The sequence below is a fragment of the Homo sapiens genome, chromosome 13, assembly GCF_000001405.40.
Source record: "Homo sapiens chromosome 13, GRCh38.p14 Primary Assembly".
Taxonomy (NCBI): domain Eukaryota; kingdom Metazoa; phylum Chordata; class Mammalia; order Primates; family Hominidae; genus Homo; species Homo sapiens.
In genome coordinates this window covers 91,443,319-91,468,338 of record NC_000013.11, presented here as the reverse complement: position 1 = coordinate 91,468,338, position 25,020 = coordinate 91,443,319, and the positions used below count along the sequence as shown (strand labels likewise).

The following is a 25,020-nucleotide window of genomic DNA, read 5'->3' as shown; positions in this document are numbered from 1 at the left end:
CATATCTTTGGCAGGGTGGGGACACAAAATTCAACCCATACCAACATTCTTTAGGGTACCATACTGAGACATGGTGCTCTTGAATACTTCTACAGGGAGAACATCTATGTTCCGCTGTGAATATTAGAGAGCACCATATCTCAATATGAGGCATGGCCACAGAACTTGCATTGGCAGAGGAAGTGTAAGTGGAAGCAACATGCACAGCTGCCAAGCAGAGGCACTGGGACCAGGACCATCTTTCCTGCTGACTTTCTCTCTTTCACTAAAGCCAAACATCTCAGATAGGGCTGCTCCTTCAGCCTGGGCAGGAAGCGATACCACCTATGCATAAAGAACTTAATCTTCTCCATGGATGTGAGCCAGCGATATTCTGGGGTCAACATAACTGCAGTAAACCTGGCCAATCCTGACCAAAACCTGTCTAGATAATCTCAAAGAATAAAAGCAAAGTAAAATTGCAAACTAAAACAAAATGAAAATAACACTTCATAATAAAACATATGCAATACAGTGAAGCTATAATCAAAGGAAAAATTATTCCCTAAAACACTTTCATTGCCAAGAAGACAACTTAAAAGGTCAAAAATTAATTCCTCTTAATAAATCAGAAAAGTGAAATAAAATTTTTAAATGTAGCATTGTTTTTTAAAAATGGTTTTAATGTTTTGAAAATTTAAACAGATGTTACTAAAAACAAAAGGATAAAGGATAACTAAATCTGAACTAATGTTCTTGGAAAAACAGCATCAACATAGACAAAAACCCAAATTAAGACAGTGAGAGGAAAGCAGAGAAAAGAGAAAGGGGCAGAGAACTGAGAGCATAAGAAGGGAAGGAAAGCATAAGAATGAGAAAAGAAAGCAAAATGAGGAATGAGAAAGGATATGAGCACAGATTCTCAGGAAATTAAATTAATCGCAAGGAATTGCATGTCTCCAAGCTAACTTCCCAACCATCCTCACCCCACACTTGGCTGTGGCCTTGGTGGAGGAATCGTGGATCACTTAGCTCTCCAGACCCTTTCTCCCTCTGTGGTGACAGGGATCACCTGACTATTGTTTTTCACCTAATGTCACCGTTTTCAGGACTTTTTTCCAACTTTCTTCCCCAATAATTCAAATCAGATGTCTTCTCTGTGACATCTTAACTCCATCATAGCAAAGCACATTGAATTGTAAGCATTTGTCTATTTTCCACAATAGATTTTAAACTTCTTAAAAGCAGTCATAATTTCCAGTCCTAGCTCTAGATGAAATACTGGCAGTCCTCATACTGCACAGTTGTCTGGTAACTAAGATCAATGCAGGCGTGTAAAGCAAGGACCCGGTTCAGATTTGGATGCATTTCAATTAACCCAAAATTGTGCAAAGCGGGGACTGCCTGAAAATGGTACAGTGCCCAGCATTCAATATATACTAAATAAACACTGATGAAGGAATGTGTGTGCTCTCCATAGTAGTATACCCACAGTCTTAGAGTTGAATAGAATTTTCAAAAGAACTTCGTTAAAACTAAGATAGAAGGAAAATGAGGACATTGTAAATCAGTCCCTGAAAGTACTCTCTTGCAAGACTCATGTTGATCCTAGGTTCCTCCCTCTCCCCAGTCCCACTCCATCACCAGTTACCTAGTCCTCTGAAATTTTCCTTCTCAATATACTTAGAATCTTTCTCCTCTGCTCTCTATCATCACTACCAAAACTCACTTCCTTGTCTTTTCTCTCACCCAGACTATTAAAATATATTAACTCACCACCCTGATCATTCCTGGTCAGCTAGAAGAAATGACCTGGAATCCTAAGTCAAAATATTTAATAAAACAGCACCAATTAAACCTCAGTTTTAAAACTTTTAACATATACTCTTTCAATTCTTGAGAACAGCAGTTGAAACAAAAATAAAAACGTAAAGTTTGTTCCTGTCACAAAAAAAACTTGGGACCATAACGTCCCCCTGCCCCCTAACTAGGAAGGTGCTGAGAGGCCAAAGAATGACTTGGACAAGTCCCCCTTGGAGAGTAGATGAGTTTAATAGGACTTACATACAGCGCACTCCTGGGTGGCAGCAGGGAAGCTGTAGAGACCCACATCACCTCCTATTCCTAAGCACTTTTACGCTAATTTTCTGGCTCTTTGCCTGCTGTGTGTGTGTGATGGAACTGTTTCCCTTGGTAGGTTCTCAGGTACTCTATGGGATGTTTGAGTTCTCAGGGACATCTGCTCCTTGACTGGGCACCATGGCCTTGGCTCGTGGCCTGGCCTTCAGGGTTCAGGCAGTGGACATACACCCTTAAGTAACCTGGTGGGGGACCCATCACAGTTCAGTCCCTACTAAAAGCAATAGAGGAGCTGAGTAAATTAAATAGTGAGATCTCAGTGTTCATAATTTAAGTTTGATTTGGATTAATTCAACTTGTGGGAAGAATCTTTAGATGAAGCTGTTATTTTTATTTAAATAAATTTATGCTTTCTACTAGAATGGACTGGAATTGAGAAGATCAATGATTTGCAGCATTTAAATTGGGTAAAATATTCAAAAGAATCACAGAGATAACTTATTTAATAAGTTTTCCCTTTGAGGAAAAAAAGTTAAAGATAAGTACTCTGAAGAAAGGCAGAAAAGATACTACTTGTGAAAATTGGGGTGAAATATTTTGACATTTCAATACAAAAGTATTAGACTTTTAAAACCACCAATTAAATGGAATTAGCCCAGAGCTTACAAAATACAAGAGTTACAAAGAAAATCTTTTTCAAACTATATTATAGTCTACAGAGAAATGTCAACTGAAGGTGTCAACAATTTCAAATGTATTCACAACAACACAACACAAGAAAAATGCAGCACCTCCAATTTGCGATTAGATGAAAAAAAAACTGTAGTACTTAAGTGGAAGAAGCCAGACACAGAAGGCTACATGATGTATGATTCCATTTACATAACATTCTGGAAAAGGCAAAATTAAAGAGACAAAGATCTAGGGTAACTATTCGGGGTGAGGAAAATATTCTCTAATTGTGGTGGTCATTGCATGACTAAATAACATTTGTCAAAATTCACAGAAGGCCCACCTAAAAAGTATGCATTTTACTGTATGTTAATTGCCCCTACAATAAATATGACATTAAAGATGAAGAGCAAGTGAGTGTGAATGAGATCAAGAAAGCAAGAAGATTATAGACAATTTAAAAAGTAAGACTGTTGAAAAAATATATTGTTAAGAAAAATACCAGTAACTTGAGAGCTGAGACAGGTCTAGTTTAAAAATTGATTAAGGTAAGTGAATATGTCCCAAGAGCAATTATTCAGCTTATATTTCTTTTTGTTTTGAAACGATATAGATTCAGATGATGCTGCAAAGAAAAAAAAATGTACAGAGAAGTCCCTTGCACCCTTTACTCAGCCTCCCCCAGGGGAAGCATCTTGTATAACTATAGTACAGTATCAAAACCAGGAAACTGACATTGGTAGAATCTACAGAGCTTACTCAGATTTTGTATGCATTTGTGTGTGTGTGTTGTGTGTGTGTAGTGCTATGCAATTTTATGACATGTAGCTTCATGTAACCATCACCACTATCAAGACACAGAACTGTTCCATTGCCACAAAGCTCCCTCATACTATCCCTTTATAGACACGTCCACCTTTCCCTCTTCCCGTCCCTAACCCCAGGGAACCACAACTTATCTTTCTCCATCTCTGTTATTTTGTTATTTCAAGAATGTTATATTTTTAATCAGCATAATTCCATTAAAGTCCATCCAATTGTTTGCATGTATCAATAGTTCATTCCTTTTTATTGCTGAGTCATATTCCACGATATGGACATAACACAATTTGTTTATCCATTCACCTGTTGAAGCACATTAATTTCCTGTTTGGGGCTACTACAAATAAAGCTGCTATGAACATTCGTGTATAGTTCTATGCATGAACATAATACTTCATTTCTCTGAATAAATGTCCAAGCGTGCATTTATTGGACAATACAATAAGTGCAGGTTTAATTTTAATAGAAACTGCCAACTGTTTTCCAGACTGTGCCATTTTATATTACCATGAACAGTGCCTCAGTGATCCAGTTTCTCTACATCCTTGTCAACAATTGGTGTTATTACTATTTTCATTTTCACCATACTTGATAGGGTGTAGTGATATCTCATTATAGCTTTGAATTATATTTCCAGGAAAGCTAGATGTTGCATATCTTTTCATGTACTTAGTTGTCATCTGCATACCCCTTCTGTAAAATGTCTATTCATATATTTTGTTCATTTTCTACTTAAACTGGGTTTTTTTAACTGTTGAATTTTTAATATATTCTAGATACAAGTACTTCATCACATATGCAGTTTGCAATTATTTGCTTACAGTGTTTTCATTCTCTTAACCTTTCTCTGAACATGGTTTGTAATTTTCACAAGGCCCAATTTTCCCTTTTATGAAACATGGGTGTTCTTGTTGTCTAATCTAAGAACTGTTCTTCTAGACCTAGGTCCCTAAGATTCTTCAATTTTCTTTTCTAAAAGTTTCACAGTTTTACATAAACTATATGATCTATTTTGGGTTCATTTTTGTATAATGTACAAAGTTTAGGTTTCCCCTATGAATATTCAATTTCTCAACACAGTTTGTTGAAAAGGATATTCTTTCTCCATTGAATAGCCTTTGTACCTATGTCAAAATCAGGCATATTTGTGTAGGTCTGTTGTGGGTTCTCTAATCTGTTCTACGTGTCTATCCCTTCGTCAATACCACATGTTTAATTACTATAGCTGTATAGCCTTATTATTAGGTAAAGTGATTCTTCCCACTTCTTTTTCAAAATTGTTTCAGCTATTCTAGGTCCTCTGCCTTTCCACATAAATTTTAGAAAAAGCTTGACTTGAACAAACACTACAATTAACATGCTTGGACGTGTATCTTTATAGTCTCCTTAAAAATTTTCCAATATACAGTTGGCTTTTTGTATCTATGGGTTGTGCACCCATGGATTCAACCAACCATGTACTGAAAATATTCAGAAAAAAAGAATTCCACAAAGCTCCAGAAAGCAAAACTTGAATTTGCCACACACCAAATACTATGTTGAAACCATGCAAATGAAGTGATGTAGAGGTGTTGCATTAAGTATTTTAAGTAATCTAGAGATGATTTAAAGTATACGGGAGGATTTGAGTAGGTTATATGCAAATACTATGCCATTTTATATGGGGGGCCTGAGCTTCTGTGGATTTGGGTATTCAAGGGGGTCCTGGAACAAATCCCCCCACTGCCAGATATCAAAGGTGACTGTATATAACCAGTAGAAAATACATATTTAACCTAGTGCTGTCAAATTGCTTTCTAGAACAGTGGTACCAATCATTAAATATATTCTTTAATATAATCTGCATTCAAAATATATAATTTCATTAAAATATACTAAATATATTGAGTAGAAGTTGCCAGATACATAGATAATTTAAGTCTACTTTGAAGGTTTATAATAAAAATAAAGCAGTTGGCCTAGATCATCCTAAAGCATTGCCCTGGGACTATAGCTAGTATGTAAGCACATCAGAAATCAGAATGTGAACACAGCATTTATCATTCCTTCTTGAACCAATGGACACTTTTGACCCACCCGTCCTAAGTATGATTTGAGAAGAGGATTCCCAAATTATACTTTCCAGAGACTTTAAGGGCCCACCTCCTTCTACACTAGCTTTCCTTATGTAAAGAGGAAACCCTCTACAATGTCTTACAGATACGCAACGATATTTCACATTTTCAGCGGGTAGGAAATGTAGTTATCCAATAGATAATTTTATGAAACTATGACTAGCAACATTTAAACCAAAATAAAAATTGCCCTTCACAGTAATTCAGTGACATCTTAAATTTTATGCCGTATTCTATCATGCACAAAACCTCTCACATTATTCTGAGGGCTCTGCATGTATTTATTCTGTGCTGTTTTGAAAAGGACTAATTTGAAGTTAATGATACTATCTAATAACTCACAAAGCATAATCAAAAAGCTTAGCTTTAGGAAGACATATACCAACATAAACTACAAACACCCCCAAATGTGATCAGAATGAATAAGTGACGTCAAAACTTTAAAGCCTCTTCTATATATTCTCATTTGGAGAAGGACACTAATAAGACCACGGCGTTTGTTAAGCCAGTCATTGAATAATTTCTCATGGACTCTGTACCTCTGCATGAGTCTGTTAGTTAAACCTTAGATTTTAGTATTCACGTTGGTTTCCATTACAGTGAGAGTCAAAACATAGCAATTTAATACCACTTAATACAATCTGAAATTTCATTTTATTACCAGTGGGCAGCAGAAAAGTCTGCTTTAAAAATGCACCAATTATTATTGTTCATCAAATAATTGTTCTCAATGGCTGGTCTTTGCGAATTTAGAGGGTATTTTTGCCCATAATCCTAAGCACTCACAATGTGACTCTTGGCAGCCCCATCAGGCACAGTAATCCAAGAAGGGATCTAGGAGTTTGGACCACCAACACCCTTCTTCTGCCTGGGCCCTGCAGCACTTCTTATAATGTGACAATTGGCTTCATACCATTTGCCATAACACGCTTAAAGAAAAGCTATCAGACAACTTCTGCCATGAAATGTTTTACTGCCTATCAAATATTGAGGAAAAAATATCCTCCATAAATAAATAAATAATAGCTAATATATGTTGAGTGTTCATTATGTACGAGGCACCAAACCAAGTACTTTACAGGGACTACCTCAATTAATCCTCATTAATTGTAGCCTAGAAGAAGGTACTATTATCGTTCCATTCTACAAGCAAGGATATTGAGGTCCAGCTAGAAGAAGTTACTATTGTTATCCCATTATACAAGCAAGGAAAACTGAGGCCCAGATGGCAAGTCTTGAGACCAGATCCAAACCCAGACCCTTTAACTCTAGACCCTTGTTCTTAAATCCTTAGGCATATTCCCTATCCTATCACAAAATCAGTTTCCCACACCAAAGACCAATGTTTGTTCTACTACAAAGCATCTTCAATTTATTTCTACTTAAGGAAAATAATATTGAATATGTTTCCTAAGTTAACATTCAAGTTAAGTCTATGCCCTGAGGGAATGAAGTCAAATAAAGAGTACAAGAAAACAATATCCTTTAAGGTGCAAAAGTTCGATTATCTTTGTTTATACAAAAGTTAGCCCATAGGCAGCATTACCCTGGAAAAAAATGAGCTCAGCACAGCTATCCAACAATTACCCTTTATTTACTGTTCTCACTCTCTGGGTCTTGAGATGCCATTTCAAGCCCTTTGCCTTCTGCATAAAAGCTATAGCATCTATACCACATTTATTGCTACATATATTTTATGATAAAAGCATAAAGATATGCATGGGTAATTTCCCAGCATGAACAGCTACATTGAGAAATGGTTGTAAAATTTAAGTCCTCTATTTGTCTGAGGAAAGAAAGGTATCTTATTTTTCATTTTATCTTATCCTTTTACCAAATCAATATTATGGATGATGGTGTAATATTTTCATCTTAATCTGATATTCCCCCAAGCCTATAGAAAAAAAAAAGCTGAAATATTAAGAACACTTCTACATTTTTAATAAACTATGTTTCATAGTTTACAATAAGTTATTATGCCATTTTATAATTTTAAATTTGACAGTAATGTCACTTACACAAACTGCAAATATTTCTAATTAGATAAGAAATAATATAATAAAAATATATCAGCCCAGCATGGTGGCTCATGCCTGTAATCCCAGCACTTTGGGAGGCTGAGGTGGGTGGATCACTTGAGGCCAGGAGTTCGAAACCAGCCTAGCCAACATGGTGAAACCCTGTCTCTACTAAAAACACAAAAATAAATTAGCCGGGTGTGGTGGCATACACCTATAATCCCAGCTACTCAGGAGGCTGAGGCATGAGAATTGCTTGAACCCAGGAAGTGGAGGTTGCAGTGAGCTAAGACCACGCCACTGTACTCCAGGCTGGGCAACAAGTAAGACTCTGTCCCCCCACCAAAAAAAAAAAAGACAACAAAGAGATATTATTTAAATGATTGATAACTATTAATATTGTTTGGTTAAAAGAATTTGATTCATATAAGAAGAGCAAATGTGTTCCTATTATGAGAATTACCACTAAGACTTCAAAATTGAGTCCCAAGAGTCTTAAGTTCACCATAGAACTTTACTTGCTAACTGGGTTATTGACTAATAAATAATTCTATTTTCAATTTTTACATAAGCATGTTGTATATTTTATAAAGTGAAAACAAATTTCTCATATACAAACTCATGATTTTCATCATATAACTTTATACAATGCTATCGCATTATACATATTCCCCCTTCAAAGTTTGTTATAAATTTAACTCAGGTTGATTTATTTATTTGCATTATTTCTTGAATGCCCTTTACTCTTAAATTATGCTAAATATTGGCAATATGTTTTGTTGTGTAGAATTGTGAATTATATCAAAATCAATTGTATTTTCATATCTAGATATATTTTATTACAGAAATATGTCTATCACTTTACAGAGCCAGACAGTTAGAGGGACACTGGAAATCTCCTGGCTCTTCCAAGACCATTAATTACTCTTCTACCCTGTATAAGCTTAGCCTCCACTGGATGTCTCTGTCACACCACCAATTTCCTCCTTTCTTTGAGAACTCTGGAGAAACAGGTCACAGTTTGTCTCACTCCAACTCTACCAACAGACTTGGAGACTCAAGTCCATGTGGAAGCCCCTCCTACAGCCTGGGCTTCTTTAATCCACTACCCTCCAGGCACCTACATCACTGATGCAACCCTGATATATTTTACCATTATCAGGATGCCCTGGGCTTCAATTCTTTTCTTACTATGTCCAGGGCCCACTAAGGATCATAAGAGATATAGAAGCTGACCACATCTTGCCACCTCCACTGCAAACACCCAAGTCACCACGGTGCCTCTTTTCTGTAGGCTATGATAGATTAGACAACTAGATAGAGTGCTTATTTTATTTTTTATTTCATTTTATTATTTTTTAAGACAGGGTCTTGCTCTGTCTCCCAAGCTGGAGTATAGTGGTGCAATCATGGCTCACTCCAACCTTCTTTTCTTTTTTTTAATTTCAATAGGTTTTTGGGGTACAGGTGGAGGAGTTTGGTTACATGGATAAGTTCTTTAGCGGTGACTTCTGAAATTTTGGTGCACCCATCACCCAAGCAGTGTGCACTGTACCCAGTGTAGTCTTTTATCCCTCACCCCCCTCCCACCCTTCCTCACGAGTCCCCAAAGTCCATTGTATCATTCTTATGTCTTTGCATCCTCATAGCTTAGCTCCCACTTATCAGTGAGAACATACGATGTTTGGTTTTTGATTCCTGAGTTACTTTACTTAGAAAAATGGTCTCCAATTCCATCTAGGTTGTTGCAAATGCCATTATTTTGTACCTTTTTATAGATGAGTCATATTCCATGGTATATACATGCATATACACCACATTTTCTTTACCCTCTCATTGATTGATGGACATTTGGGCTGCTTCCATATTTTTGCAATTGCAAATTGTGCTGCTATAAACACATGTGTGCAAGTGTCTTTTTCATATAATGACTTCTTTTCCTCTGGATAGATATCCAGTAGTGGGATTGCTGGATCAATGTAATCAGGGTAGTTTACATTCCCACCAGTAGTGTAAAAGTGCCCCCTTTTCACCGCATCCATGCCAACATCTATTTTTTTTTATTTTTTAATTATCGCCATTCTTGCAGGAGTAAAGTGGTATTACACTGTGGTTTTGATTTGCATTTCCCGATAATTCGTGATGTTGAGCATGTTTTCATGTTTGTTCATCATTTGTATATCTACATTGATTAGAAGTGGTGAAAGTGGGCATCCTTGTCTTGTTCCAGCTCTTGGCGGGGAATGTTTTCAAGTTTTCCCCATTCAATATAATGTTGGCTGTGGGAAGACAGTGATTATTTTACAATCAAATCACACCTATCATAAAAACTCCTGTTTCAGAATAAATGCCTAACAGGCCCCAGACGACCTGGCCTCGGTGATATCCTTTCCGATCACCCTCCGTATGCCCCACACATGCTGCCTCCTTGCTGCTATTCCTCTGACAGCTGAGGCCCACCTCTACTTTACAGCTATTTCCTGGTCCTGGAATGTGTTTCTCCCAGGTATCCACATGACTAACTCCTTCACTCTCTTCAAATTTTTGCTGAAATGCCACTTCTTCCCTGATTATCCAATTTAAAATTGCAGCCCTCTAGTATTTCCATCCCCCTCACTCTGCTCTATATATTTTTCTAAACATTTAATACATCCTAACTTGTATCTGTTATTATGTTTGTTTATTTTCTATCTTTCCTGGCTGAAATGGGAACTATCAAGACAGGGATCTTTGTTTCATTCACCCATGCATCCAAGCACTTTAAACAGTGCTGGCACATTCAGGCTGCCCCATGATTGTTGGATGGATGAATGGACCTCCTACCACCTTCAGCCTTCCACTGTACCTGCTCAACCACGTGTCAGTGCTCCTCTACTTGTACTTTCTCCCTAGGCACTAGGAAAGGATGAAAACGAAAGCAGTCACACCATCATAGATACAAGTTTTACTATTAATTACATGTCTCCAATGTTAACCTTCTACCTGGTTTTTGGTTAATTACCTTTTCTATTTCCCACAAAAACTATTTCAAACTACATACGCACTTCCATTTCATGTCATCCCCTGTGCTGCGGCAGGGTGCATTGTCCCTATGCACATGGCTATTGAGTGTGGTCACCCCAAAAATTGAGTGTTCTGACAACAGGCAGAAGGAAGAACAAGATGCTGTCATGTGCTATATGCCACATAATAACCATGACAAATGCAAATTAACATCTCATGATAAAGTAAAAGGTAAAAATAGATACATTATTGAGTTTTAAAATAACGTCTTAGATATTTTTTATAGTATCATTATTTTATCTTTACTGTAAAACTAATTAATGTGGTCACTAACCATCATAGATAAAATTTTGTAGGGTCTTGAAAAAACAAACCATAAGACCTCAAAATACTGAAAATGTTATTTTTTAAACTAATTAGTTACATTGGATATTTAACAGGGTAAGCCATGCTTCCAAAAACTAAATATTTTGATACAAAAATAGCTATGAAAAAAGCCCTATCAAAAAAGCTGGCAAGTAATGTAATACATCAAGATACATTTTAACAAAATTTGTTAATAGAATTTATAATAGTAATAGGATAGTAATAATTTGTGATCAAATTATTACGCAATTTTACTGTAACTTTGTTCTTCACATAAAATAGACTTAAATGTATTCAAATGCTCCCTCAGTCTTTGTCTTTCCACCAGCCTCTTATAAATAGGGAAATACCCTACTTTCAATATTAAAACATTTTACTGCATAGAAATAATAATTCCATGACACGTGTTTGCAAAATATGTTAGTTGATACCATTGGCAAAAAAAAAAAAAAATCCCATATTCATATGCTAAGTGCACAGGGCTAAACTAGAAAACAAAACAAAACACCCACGTGAATTTTACTTTTTACAGCATGCAAGTTTTATATATCATTATCAATATAATTTTTAAGTTTGTTCCACGGGGTAAAAATTTTTTTAAAGAATTCATAAATATTGAATTACAAAATGAGTGTCATACCACACAATGCTTACATTACAATTTTCCCTTGATATATATTTTCACACATTAATTAGAAAAATGCTATTTTAATTAAGCTGATTTTACTTTTTCCTAAAATATTTAGTATAAGAAATAAAAAATCATTTAAATACAATATATTTTGGATCTTAAAAAAATTATTAACTTTGCAGATTATTATTGCTTTTAAAAGCAAACATTCCTAAGATAAATTGGTTCTCTTTTAAAAGAAGCTAATAATTGTTTATTTCTTTCCATGGATTGCAAAAGTTAACATTTTGCAAAAAGAAAAAAAAAAGTTAACATTTGGAAATATAAAATGAACTCAATTTAACTAATACTAAAAAAAAAGATTATACACTTTGTCTATACCTTATACAGGATCACCATACTTTGTATGTTTGGTTTGGAAAAATTGTTACTCCCAAAATATCTAACAGACAACAGGCTGATCAAAAAGCATTCAGTTTACATTCATCCTCAGAGCCCTGCGGTGGGTATTTAATATTTCTCTGCTTATATAATAAATGTAAGAGACTGGAAGATACATTATCTCACTATCTGGGGAGGAGAGGAGAGTATCACACAAGAATGGGAGATCTCTGGGCCAGAGAGAATGAGCTGAGAATGGCGGCTTCATGGATTGATGTTGGAGGGCTGAAAAAGACTTGCAAAAATAGAAATCAACATTCAATTTGAAATTATTGAAAGTATGTGGTCTTTAGACTTTGTCTTCCTCTATAATCATCATTTCATAAAAGTTATTTTACACATACATCATGAGTGGGTTGCATGTATATAATGTGTGTGTGTTTTGGGAACTGGAAATTGAGAAAAAAATCATATACAGCTAATATGACAGGAAAGAGGCAGACAACAGCAAATTTTTTAAAAGCAAGGGAGCAGAGGTAGGAGTGACTATGTGACTGCAAGCCTTGGGATGTGCAGAAACTTCGTGGGGAGCTTGGATTTCTATAGCACATAAAAAGAAATTCCAATTACTTTAGTTAAAACTTTAAGATGTAGAAATCCAATGTGATATCTGTACCTAGGACAGAAATTTTAAATACATACAAAATACAACATGGTATACATCCTCTAAGTGTGTACACATGTTGGTATGATTTATTCATAAGGGAAAATAAATAAAATACAAAATAAAGAACTGCATGTGAAGTGATATGCAGACACCCTAATAATCAGAGAGGACCACACATTTAGAAAACAAGATACAACATCATTATCAGTTCAGTAAAACTTTTAAAATTCTGACAATACTTAAGTGTTAGGAAAAATGTGAAAATATGACAATGCACACAAACCACTAGAGTGAGTTTCAATTGGTTTTGCTACTTAGAAGAGCAATTTTAGTAAATATCTAGTAAAGTAAACAAGTGCATAGCCTATAAACCACAATTGTGCTTCTATGTGTGAACCCTGGAGAAACAAGCACTCACGGAGATATCAAGAATGTTCACTGCAACATTTTAAGTGCAAAAATAGGTTACAAATTATTAAAATATCCATCAACAGAAGAATGAATAAACGTCACATATTTATAAAAATGAATTTTATAAATCAAATTAAATGGATAAAAGGGATGGATAGATAGACACACAGATTAATCTCAAAAACATAACTAGTTGTAATCTCCCAAATGTCCTGTCCTTTACTCAACACATAAGTAGCGTTCAAGAGTCATTTCTATGATTCCCTCTGCATAAGATTAAATGAATATAAGCATGGCTGTAGTCCCAGCTCAGGAGGCTGAGGTTGGAGGATTATTTGAGCAACAGAGTTTGAGCCCAGGGGTTTGAGAAATTGAATATCTTATTTTAAAAAGCAGGTGAATCTAGAATGAGAATATAAATATAATTTATGTATTTTCTTCCTTTATGCTAACAGATACTAGCTACTGTTAGGGAAGAAGAAAGGAGGGAAGGAGAGAGAGAATCTCTTGTTTTATTTCACAAGTCTTCTTGCTAAGTATCATTCATTTATTCATGCAGTTCATTTAATTATATTTGCTGAGTATCTGCTCTGAGTTTCAAAAATTAAAAACAAATAGCAAAATGATAAATATCTGATTAAATGTCAATTCATCTAGCCAATAGATGTACAGTTCTTACATTGAAAAGATTTAACTGAAAGTGTATTTAATATAAAATCAAGAACTGTTTCACCAGCTATAAGCAAATTACTGTGCTTGCAAGATGAGATTACCATAGCCATAGGTGATATTATCATAACTATCATCTGTCAGAATTAAAACAACTAAAAGTTTACTTCTTAGAGTTTAAAAAAGAAACTTGGAAAAGTAAACCTGATCTTAGATCTATAGTTAATATTTTTCTACTATTGATATTATTTCATATGAAGCAAGCTTTATTTCCAGCTGAAAAGTAATTTAAGCTCTTGCAACTTTTATCTAGAACAGGAAAATTGCTTGGTTTCTCATAATTAATATAAGCCTGTTGACGCCGATTCAAAAGAAACAATTTTTAACATTGCAGAGATAAAGGACAGTTGAATAAAGACCAATTGCACTGATAGCTGCTGTATTAGATAACACACTAAACCATGCACTGCCTAAAACTGAACAAGGAAAAGAATGCAATCCCATTCAGCATGCCACTGACATAAACACTATCATGTGCCCCTTTATAGTTTAGAAATTAATAAACTAATAAATATGTCGGCATATTAGGAGTCTGAATGATCCAGTAAAAGTATAATGGATTTAACATTTTGACACTGTGTACAATCTAAGTACCTAATGATGCTGGCACCCAGTAGGTGCTCAAAAGATATATTAAATGCATCAACAGAGGAATAAAAGAAAGGAAGAAGGAGGAGGGAGGGAGGAGAGAGGAAATGAATCTCTCATTTTATTTCTGAACCATTTTCTTGCTAAGTACCATTCATTCATTCATTCCTTTATTCATATAGTTAATTTACTTACATTTGCTGTATATCTGCTCTCAGTGCTACACATAGAAATAAGTCTCCCCAACACTACCAGCCTAGGCTGCCTGTTCTCTTAATCTTGATCAAGTAATTCTTAATGTTAAAAATAGCAATACGCCTTTATTCTTCCTAGGAAAAATTTTAAATATAGTCCATTTCTGTAAAGTATAGCTGAAGTGACTTAAATAAGATTAATGTGCTCTATGCTTGATATTGTAACATTTATATAAATCTATTTGTCTTCATATTCATTAATATATTTGAATATTAACTATATCCTGTGTCTTTTGCTATATATATACATATATACTTTAGTTTTACAGTAGCAGCTATACGATAGCTATACACTTTACAGTAACCAGTATCTGTTAGCATAAAGGATAAAAATCCGTAAGTTATATTCATATTCTCAATTCACCTGCTTTTTAAATATATTTAATTTCAAGCATATTCCTACATTTCATTAAAAATAGCAATCATTTTTTAATAAATTCCTGAATCTAACATTTCAACCCCAGAGGACAGGCTTGCCAATCTTTCAAAAACATATAATCAAGGAATCAAAATATAATTAGCCAAGAGATGAAATCAAAAAAAAGTTAAATAATTTTTGTTCTAAATGTCACTTAGACTCTAGCAATAACATTTTTTTAGAATAATGCATTTCCAGTTATATATATAACTGGAAATTTTCCAGAATAAAGACTTAGTATCCACCATATATTTTAGAAATATATGAGCATAATGAAGTTGAAAGAAATAAGAAAAGGTTCATTTCTAAGGAAAGATATAACATTTTAACCTTATCTTCCAAATATTAACACAAAACACAAGCTTCCAATAGTGTCCTCTAAAATATTATTTTTTATTTTTTGAAAGTCATGTTGAAATTTTTGCATAGTTACAAATTAAAAAACTAAATTTCATTATTTTATTTAAACAGAGATTTAAAAATTGAAAAATATATAAGCTGGATAAGAGTTGTTTTTTACAGAAGATGACTCTCCATCAATTTCCCCTATTTCTCCATGCATCACACCATACTGTCATGTATAAAGAAACAAAATATTTATAACAAATATTTCCAAAATATTTTTAAAGCAGAAAATCTTATAGCAAAACCACCAATGGGAAACAAACTCTTGTATTATCCTGGGCTGTTCTGCTTTATTCATGAACATTACTAAGCCCCTGAAAATGAAGAACAGTTATTGTTTGCACTGTGACAAAGCCAACATTCCTCCTTGCAAACAGCACTACTTATTTATGAACAGCAACTGACATAAGGGTAGCAGTTTTCTTTTTCTGCCCTATAAAATACTTCATGGATGATTGCCCTTAGAATATAGTGAAGTCCCAGGTCATAATCATGAGTCCTTCTAAAAACAGATTTTTGGCCAGGCATGGTGGCTTATGCCTATAATCCCAGCACTTCGGAAGACCAAAGTAGGTGGATGAGTTGAGCTCAGGAGTTCAAGACCAGATGGGGCAACAGGGCAAAACCCTATCTCTATAAAATATCAAAAATTAGCCAGGCAAGGTGTCATGAGCCTGTAGTCCTAGCTACTCGGGAGGCTGTAGTAGGAGAAACACTTTAGCCTGGCAAGTTGAGGCTGCAGTGAGCCATGTGATCACACCATTGCACTTTGGACTGGGCAACAGAGTGAGACCCTGTCTCATAAATTAAAAATAATAGAAAAAATGAAAATAAATAATAAATAAAAGCAGATTTTTGTCTGTTTTGTTCATTTTAAGAAAATGTGGGCTGGGCATGGTGGCTCACACCTGTAATACCAGCACTTTGGGAGGGCGAGGTGGGTAGATCATGAGGTCAGAAGTTCAAGACCAGCCTGGTCAACATGTTGAAACCCCGTCTCTACTAAAAATACAAAAATTAGCTGGGCATGGTGGCACACATCTGTAATCCCAGCTGCTCGGGAGGCTGAGGCAAGAGAATCACTTCAACCTGGGAGGCAGAGGTTGCAGTGAGCAAAGATCATGCCACCGCACTCTAGCCTGGGTGACAGAACAAGACTCCACCTCGGGGAAAAAAAAAAACAAACAAACAGAAGAGTTGTCCTAGAGGCTAATTCTAGCCTAAATGGAATATACATAGGCAGTGGACTACAGAGCCCAGTGTGAGTTTCACATAGGATAATCTTAGGTCTCTTCTAACAACAGCTGTCAGCATGGCTTCCTCTCTCCCTCATGCATTTTTAACCTCCCAGCCTTCATCTAACAATAGTGTGCCCTCTGCTAAATCCCCAGACCCAAGTGATCATCCTCACTGGCTGTATTCAAAAGTTTGCTCTAAAAAATATGTTTCCGTGGGGTCACATAAGGTCCATGAGGAAAGAGACCATACTACATCCCAGTCCAATGTCTTTTATAACCTACAATATAACTCGGAAAACAGATTAATATTGTTGAACTAGGAAATATAAATGAACTATTTGAAAACTAAAAAATCAAAATGTAGCACATCTACTTAACATCATTTGAGAAGTTAATTGATTTCTCTATCAAATTTCTCTCAAGTAGACGTTTCCCAAAAAAAATGTGTTGGCTGCTTCCTTCTTATAAAGACTTTATATTGTTTTCAGATATTTTAATTGCACAGAAATTAGATGGAGGGCATTTTACTTAATGATAAGGTAGCCTGCTCACTTATGGTACAGCAAAGTGATCTCTTGTACTGCTTTTGGCATATATATTTAAGCTTGTTTTTAAGGAAATAAGCCTAAAGCTACTTATTCAATTCAATAAAAGTGGGTATTCTTATAAGTGAATTTGGTTCCAGAAAAGTTAGCCTTTAGGCAAATTTCTTTTAAATTTGTCTTCCCTTGAGCTTCTTAAATAAAACTTGACATCTACTAAGGAAGAAATTATAATTTATTATTAAAAAATCATATTTAAGAATGTCTCTATATTTTTTATAATTAATTTTTAAATAGCAAAACTCAACCTAATGAATAAAGCAGATAAAATTTAGTAAACAGAAAACAAAGGTTTACATAAAATTAGCTGACACTTCAATAGAGACGATCTCCTTAACATATATTTCTACTACTGAGATGGTTATCACTAAACTTTTAGCAGTATCACCAAAACTTTTCACCAGCCTCAATCCATCTTAAAAGTCTAAATATTCCAGGTTTCCTAACCCTTTGAACGTAATGTGCTCTATCTTGATCACATATCCAAGATTCAATATGAATCCAGTCCACCTTTTTAAGCATATGACCACCTATCACAAACTCCATTCTGCTCAGACTGATATATCCACTGCGTGGCCTCCAAAATGTATATTTCATATTGTACCTACTATCCTTTTCATTGGAAGAAAATATAATTTTCTGTAGATGGTTAACGGCTTCTAACTCAGCTAAATCACAAATCTTGGTTTAAAATGTATATCAGTAAATTTTCCTCCAACAATTTCACATGAATAAATCCTACAATAGAAATAAAGTTGTTTTGTAAGGCATCTAAAAAAGCAGCTAAATTTATAAAACCTTAAAATCTGACATTTCACGCTTTCTACAAAAAAGCATTAATTCATCATGAACTACACTTTAACTTAAATTTTATTCTGATTTATTGCATTTATTTTATTTAATAACTATCATTTTAAAAATTAAAGAGCTCTGTGATTTACTTATATATGTACACCAAGCAAATTATTCAAATAGATTGACATTAATGTACTTATTTAAAAGGAATACTAACAGAAGTTATATTCTGCATTGACCAAAGGTAATAATTTGAAAAGCTGTATAATCTAGATATTTTCATTCTAGTCATATACAGAATAGCTAATGCTTTATAAGAAGAAAAATAAATTAAGCTATTTTATTGTAGTAATAAGGAATTTTACAGAAGAGATGACTAAAATAAGAAAAACATCATGTATTTTTCAGTGTGCCTTGTAATTTTATAACCTATTAATTTTATATCTGAACATATTGCTTGAATTAAGGTTGAGTTCTGGTCTTAAATGACCCTTAAACATCCAATTAACATTTCCTGTTTTACTATTTATCAGACTTGCTTGCACTTTGATATATTCCACTGGTGTTCTTATGAAAACCATATGAGATTAGAGCAAGGAAATTTAAAGAGTATTTCTTCAAATAACAGGGGCCTGTTGCGGGGTCGGGACGCAAGGGGAGGGAGAGCATTAGGACAAATACCTAATGCATGCAGGGCTCAAAACCTAGATGACGGGCTGATGGGTGCAGCAAACCACCATGGCACATGTATACCTATGTAACAAACCTGCATGTTCTGCACATGTATCTCAGAATTTAAAGTAAAATTTTATATAAAATAAAATTATGAGACATCCAAAAAAAATTTTTAGTAGATAAATCTATAATTACCCAGTAAAAAGCAATGAGATTTTATGTTATAGAACTTTTCCATGAAATCTAATAATTATGTCTGTTCATATTAAAGTACAGCTATGAGTCAGAATGTTGGCAGACCTGGAAGAACCCTATAGCAGTATATATTTCCAACGATCATTTCACTAACATAACAGTCCAACTCAGTTTCCCCAATCCAACTCAGTATATACTCCCACAATGACCTCAGAAACAAGTTTTGAAGGCTAGAAAAAGTTAAAACCTCATTTTATACCCGAATATTATGTAAATACAAGGAAATAAACCCAGCCAAGTTTGCCAACGTAACTATCTTAGGCAAATTACATAACACGGCCAGTCCTTAGTTGCAGAATTCAAGATCCACTTACCTTGAAAAGCAGCCGCATTTCGAGATATTAGAAACTTTAATGTAGAGCTGGACGTTTGAAGAAACTGCTGCATATCCTGGCGAGCCGCAATCTGATATCTCTCCTCCATCTTCCTGGTGCAACATGTAGGCTTTTTGGATATGCAAACCTGAAGATCAGGTCCTGGAACACACAACATTTTTCAGAATGATTACCTGTTCATTTAACAAGTATTACATATTATATATCAGGCGTTATGACCAGTCCTGCACACAAAGGACTATGTGAGGAATGGATTTGCTAGAGTACTTGCTATAAGAAAGTTTATCTATTGCTCATTAACACAATCATAAACAAAATATTCTAAACCATTAACTCTTTGCTCAAATATTATATTAACTTCTTGGTCAAATATTAAGTATCTCCACTCAATAGAAAGCAAATTAACTACTATGAAGTACAGCGCTCAATCAAGAAAAAGGTTTTTTGTGGGTTTTTTGCTTATTTTATCAATTCAGCCAAAATTGCTTGAAAGAAATATGTTATAGATAATTATGTGGACTAAAAGAATTGCTTTTCATGGGGAAATGAAACTGAATTTTGAACATCACATAAAGGTCAAAAAACTTGACCTGATTTCTCAGCTGCCATCAGGCTCGTGCTGCTTGTGAAGTAGGCTATCTCTGCAATAATGACATGCTGGGAGATCAAGGCCCCCATGGGCCCAAGCTCAGCATCCAAGATTCCACTCACTATATAGCTGGCGAGAGACAATCCCCTCCTTTAAAAGCACTTTTTAGTTGTACAATCATGTTTAGAAGGATCCTGTGAAGATGTATATTGCATGAAATGTAAAGTTATTAATATATGAAATGTAAGAGTTATGGTTACAAAAAAACCTTTGCTAGTATCACTAAACTTTCATCCTGGTAGGGACCCAGGACAAGCACCTTTATGCACAGCAGATATGCTAGAGGACAGAGAGGAAAGATGTGGAGCACAAAGAGTTAGTGCCCAAAGAGGAAACCCTGATGGAGAGAGCTGATGTGAGCCCCAGGGCATTCCAAGGCTACTAGATTATAAGTAAAGCTCAGGACAATTTTATTTACATAATGGCCTAATACGGTTATTTCCTTACTTTAGAATAACAAGAAGAATTGTGGCCCTTAATCTCTGTGAGTTTCACAGGTTCCACATTAGTTCTTCATCAACTAATTTTAGATCAGTAAAATAGGTGCATGCACACAGACATACACACAAGACGCATGCACATAACAACCACCTTTCAAGCCCTTCCTACTTTTTCCACACAGAGTTGGCCTCAGGTCTCAAATTTCCAAAAGTTGGTTCTGGGTCAGCTGAAAATATATGAAACCACTCTGAGCTTCCTATCAACATGGGACACCAAAATCTCTAACGATTTTGGCTGTAGTTTAAGTCAGACAAATAACAAATGACAGAATTTTGACACTTTACAAAGGCTAAGAAGCATAAAATATTCGTAAGTGTCACAGTAGGTAACATTTTGGCAATCGTTTTTCACTTATCTTACCTAAAGTTACGTAAGAGCAAATTCTACTTCAAACAGTAAAATTATTTGAAAAAAAAAAAAAAGCTATCTTCTCAGCTTTATTCCTAAATTGAAGGATTGAGGAATTAGCATCCAGAGAAAAGCAATAATAGAGATTGAGGAAAAGAACTAACGAATAAATATTAAAGTATATAAACATATTTAGTGTAGGAAAGACTGCTGAGGAATAAAAAGAACAATAACAGCAGATCATAGCAAATATCTCTTTGGAATTTAAATATATAACACTGTTGTGTTAGACCAATTCCTAAACATGGCCTGTGAAGGCCTCCAAGTTGTGATCCTTCCTTTCCTCCCTCCCTCTCCAGTCTCATCTCCGGAAACATTGGCCTTTGTACTCTTCCCATCACACTCTGGCCTTATTTCAGCTCTCTGTGTTCACCAAGCTCTCTCTTGTCACAGAACCATTTTCCATGGTCTCTTCTCTGTCTCAGACACACTTACCCTACCTGTTCTCATGCGCGCATGCAGCAAACCCTCAAAGATTGACTTATCTCTCCTTGGCACATTTCCATCAGTATCGCCTATAAGATAAGCTTAAATAATTTAGAGTTGGGTCACAGTGAAAAGGGAAAAGAGTTGACAGGAAATGTGTTCCCTAAGTTACTATATCAATCCAAAAGACAGACAAGATGAACAAAATCCTCAGGGAAAGAGCTATCTCTTACATTTTGTTCACAGTATCAGCACAAAGGGCATAATAAGATGTTTGGGTGATATAAAGCCCAGGCTCCTATTGTAAATAGAACAGGCATCATAAGAAAACAAAGCTAGAGTGAACCCAGATACTATTATGCATGGTAACTAGAGGTATCTGAAGATTTCAATGCCTGGCTTCGAGGAACATGGCATGATCCTAGAATTCTATGAGACAGCAAGAGTACACAACCCAGGCTCTGGAGTGACAGTCATGTTTCTAAACAGTAAAATCAAACTCCAAAAGAAACAGAGTACTAAAACAAAACCAAAAATAAAACAGTAATGTGCCTCAATGAAGGAGACTTCAACCAGAATTGTGGGGATGTTTCTGAATTCTCACCCAGAAGCAGCAGTAGTGGTTAATACGTCTTCCTTTCCATTCTCTAGCATAAGAAATTTACAGATATCTACATGCCTGTATATTTTCAATATGTTAAATAGGAACATCAGGAGGTATTCTGGAAATATGGTGGCAGTGGCAGCATAGTTTTCACTATCTCCAAATCTCCACATAAAACCAGATGGAACTAGAAAACAAACCCCCAAAAAACAAAAACAAAATTAGATGACATGATATCCCCACAAACTTTAAAATACAAACAGAATGGGGAGAAACCAGGAATAGGCACAAGATCTTCACAGTAACAGAGCAGGGCACAGGGTAGAAGAAAGATGCAACAGAGGAATGTCTGAAGGATCTGAGATCAGGAGAACCCCAAAATAGTGAGCAGGAGTGACAGGAAAGCACAGCGACCCACTTGAGAATACAGTAGCTCCCCATTTAACCATGGTTCCACTTTCTATGCTTCCAGTTCCCCACAGTCACAGTCTGAAAATATTAAATGGGAAATTCCAGAACCAAAAATCTTATAAGATTTTGCTTGGGCATGGTGGCTCATGCCTGTAATCCCAGCACTTTGGGAGGCCAAGGTGAGCAGATCACTTGAGGTCAGGAGTTCGAGACCAGCCTGGCCAACATGGCAAAACCCCATCTCTACTAAAACTACAAAAATTAGCTGGGCATGGTGGCATGTACCCATAATCCCAGCTACTCAGGAGACTGAGGCAGGAGAATCACTTGTAGCTGGGAGATGAAGGTTGCTGTGAGCCGAGATCGTGCCACTGCCCTCGAGTCTGGGGGACAGAGCAAGATTCTGTCTCAAAACAAACAAACAAATAAACAAACTGATAAGGCTTAAATTGCTTGCTGTTCTGAGTAGCACAATGAAATCTCATGCCTTCCTGATTCATCCCACCTGGGGTGTCGATCACCCCTTTGTCCAGGAGATCTCCGCTGTCTATGCGTCCCACCAGTTAGCCACTTTCTAGCCCTCCTGGTAGTCAAGAGGACACTGTCCTGGTATGGCAGTGTATGTGTTCAAGTAACCTTTATTTTACTTCAAAATGGCTCCAAAGCACAAGAGTAATAATACTAGCAATCTGGATTTGCCCAAAGTGCTTCGCTTAAGTGAAAAGGTGAAAGTCAGTTAAGAAAAGAAAAAATAACGATATGCTGAGTTTACTAAGATCTACATAAGAATGAATCTTCTATCCATGAAACCGTGAAGAAGGGAAAAATAATTTGTGCTAGTTTTGCCATCGCAACTCAAACTGAAAAGTTATAGCCACAGCACGTAAGTCCTTAGTTAAGATGGAAAAGGCATTCAATTTGTGGGTGGAAGACATGAACAGAAACATGTTCTGACTGACAGCAGTTGGGTTTGGTTCTATCTGATGCTTCGGGGATCTACTGTGGGTCTTGAAACATATCCCCTACAAGTAAAGCGGGGCTCCTACAGCAGCTGAAACTGGGAGAATTTTGCCCCCTCAATCATTAAATGTGTTCTATCGACCCATGATAGAAAAGAAGGAACAAGAGCAGTCCCCACCCCAGTAAACAATCAAACAGGTTCAGCAGGGCTCCTTTCCAGGACAGAACCACACACAGAAGAGAAATGCTGTAAGTGAAATCAAAATTCAACAGAACAGGGATTCAAGACACATAGAGAAAGTCTAGCCCAAAGTGCAAAGGAAAATAAATCCAGAAAATAACATAAAATGAGCTGCCATATTTTTAAACACTACACAAAATTAACAGAAGAGGAAGCTCTGCAATGTTACAGAAGCTATGCTGAAGCCTGTCTCAATAAAAATGTTCAGAAAAACAAACACTAACTTCATATAAAATGAACAACAAAAATATTGAGGTCGATACTCAGAGTTACTATAATAAAAAAGAGAATAAGAAACAGAATAATATCCCACAGACAAGAAAAAATATGCTGGAATGATATGCTCCCTCCAAAAAAGATCAAAAACTTAGCCATACTATTTCAAAACAAGCTGAAAGACAATGACACAAAACATGAAAGAACAACATATGTCAGAATTTTAAAACTCAGATATGAGGTGATAGTACTCAGGATAAAAATTAAAGATAAAAGAAAATAATTCTAAATGAAGCCTTACTAGAAGGAACACAAGAGCCAATCACACAAACGTAATGCCTTAAGAGAAACAGAAAATGAAAAATAAAAATTTTGAAAAATCAAAAAGAATGAAGGAATTTGAAAGATAGTGACAACAAATACCAAAGTGAGATATTGATCATGTAAGCCCCTGAAGAAAAAAAACAGGATAAATACTAAAAACTGTATTTTATGTCATCTGAAATTGTTGTGAGTCTAATATGGGATAAACAAATAAGCAATTTTGGAATGTTCTAATTCTATCCTCTAATTCCATCCTGTATTCTTGAAAATCCGGATCTTTAGTGTGGAAAAACGGAGATACAGACATGATAAAGAAGACGTTAAGTAAGACTCTGTAATCTTGAATTTGAATTATAAGTACCAACATGAACTCATAAAGAATTTTACCTTTAAAATGTATATAATTCCTACCTTCCCTGAAAAGACCCCAAAACAACGACTAACCAGATAGCAAAGGGCATTCCTCATGCTTGGATTATGGTCTTGAAGCATCATTTCCTCAAGAAGAAATCAGCGCTTCTTGAAGAAATGACTCATTCTTCTGGGGCAGAAAATCTGTCAGATGACAGTCTGACTAAAACATCTTACGTAGCAGATAGCAAAGAAGCTATCAAATAACTACCAGGCCATATCAAAAGAACACAGAAGCTGTGTTAGTCTGCTTGGGCTACCATGACAAAATACTACAGACTGGAGCTTAAACAACAGAAATTTATTTTCTCACAGTTCTGGAGGCTAGAAGTTTAAATTCAGGGAGCCCACTGGGTTGGTCTCTCGTTGGCTTGCATCTGACCATCTTCTCTCTGTGCCCTCACATGGCCATTTCTCTGTGCATGCAGACTT

At 35.5% G+C, this 25,020-nt stretch overlaps 1 protein-coding gene across 12 annotated transcripts in view; it reads right to left on the bottom strand.

Annotated features, from left to right (window-relative positions):
- The window catches only part of GPC5 (glypican 5), a 1,468,617-nt gene that overhangs the window by 1,398,899 nt on the left and 44,698 nt on the right, over window positions 1-25,020 (bottom strand). For all 12 annotated transcript variants that reach the window (NM_004466.6, XM_017020435.3, XM_011521054.4 and 9 more), the window contains exon 2: window positions 19,417-19,578. In NM_004466.6, the coding sequence (NP_004457.1) occupies window positions 19,417-19,578 (162 nt within the window). The remainder of the gene's footprint in view (window positions 1-19,416; window positions 19,579-25,020) is intronic.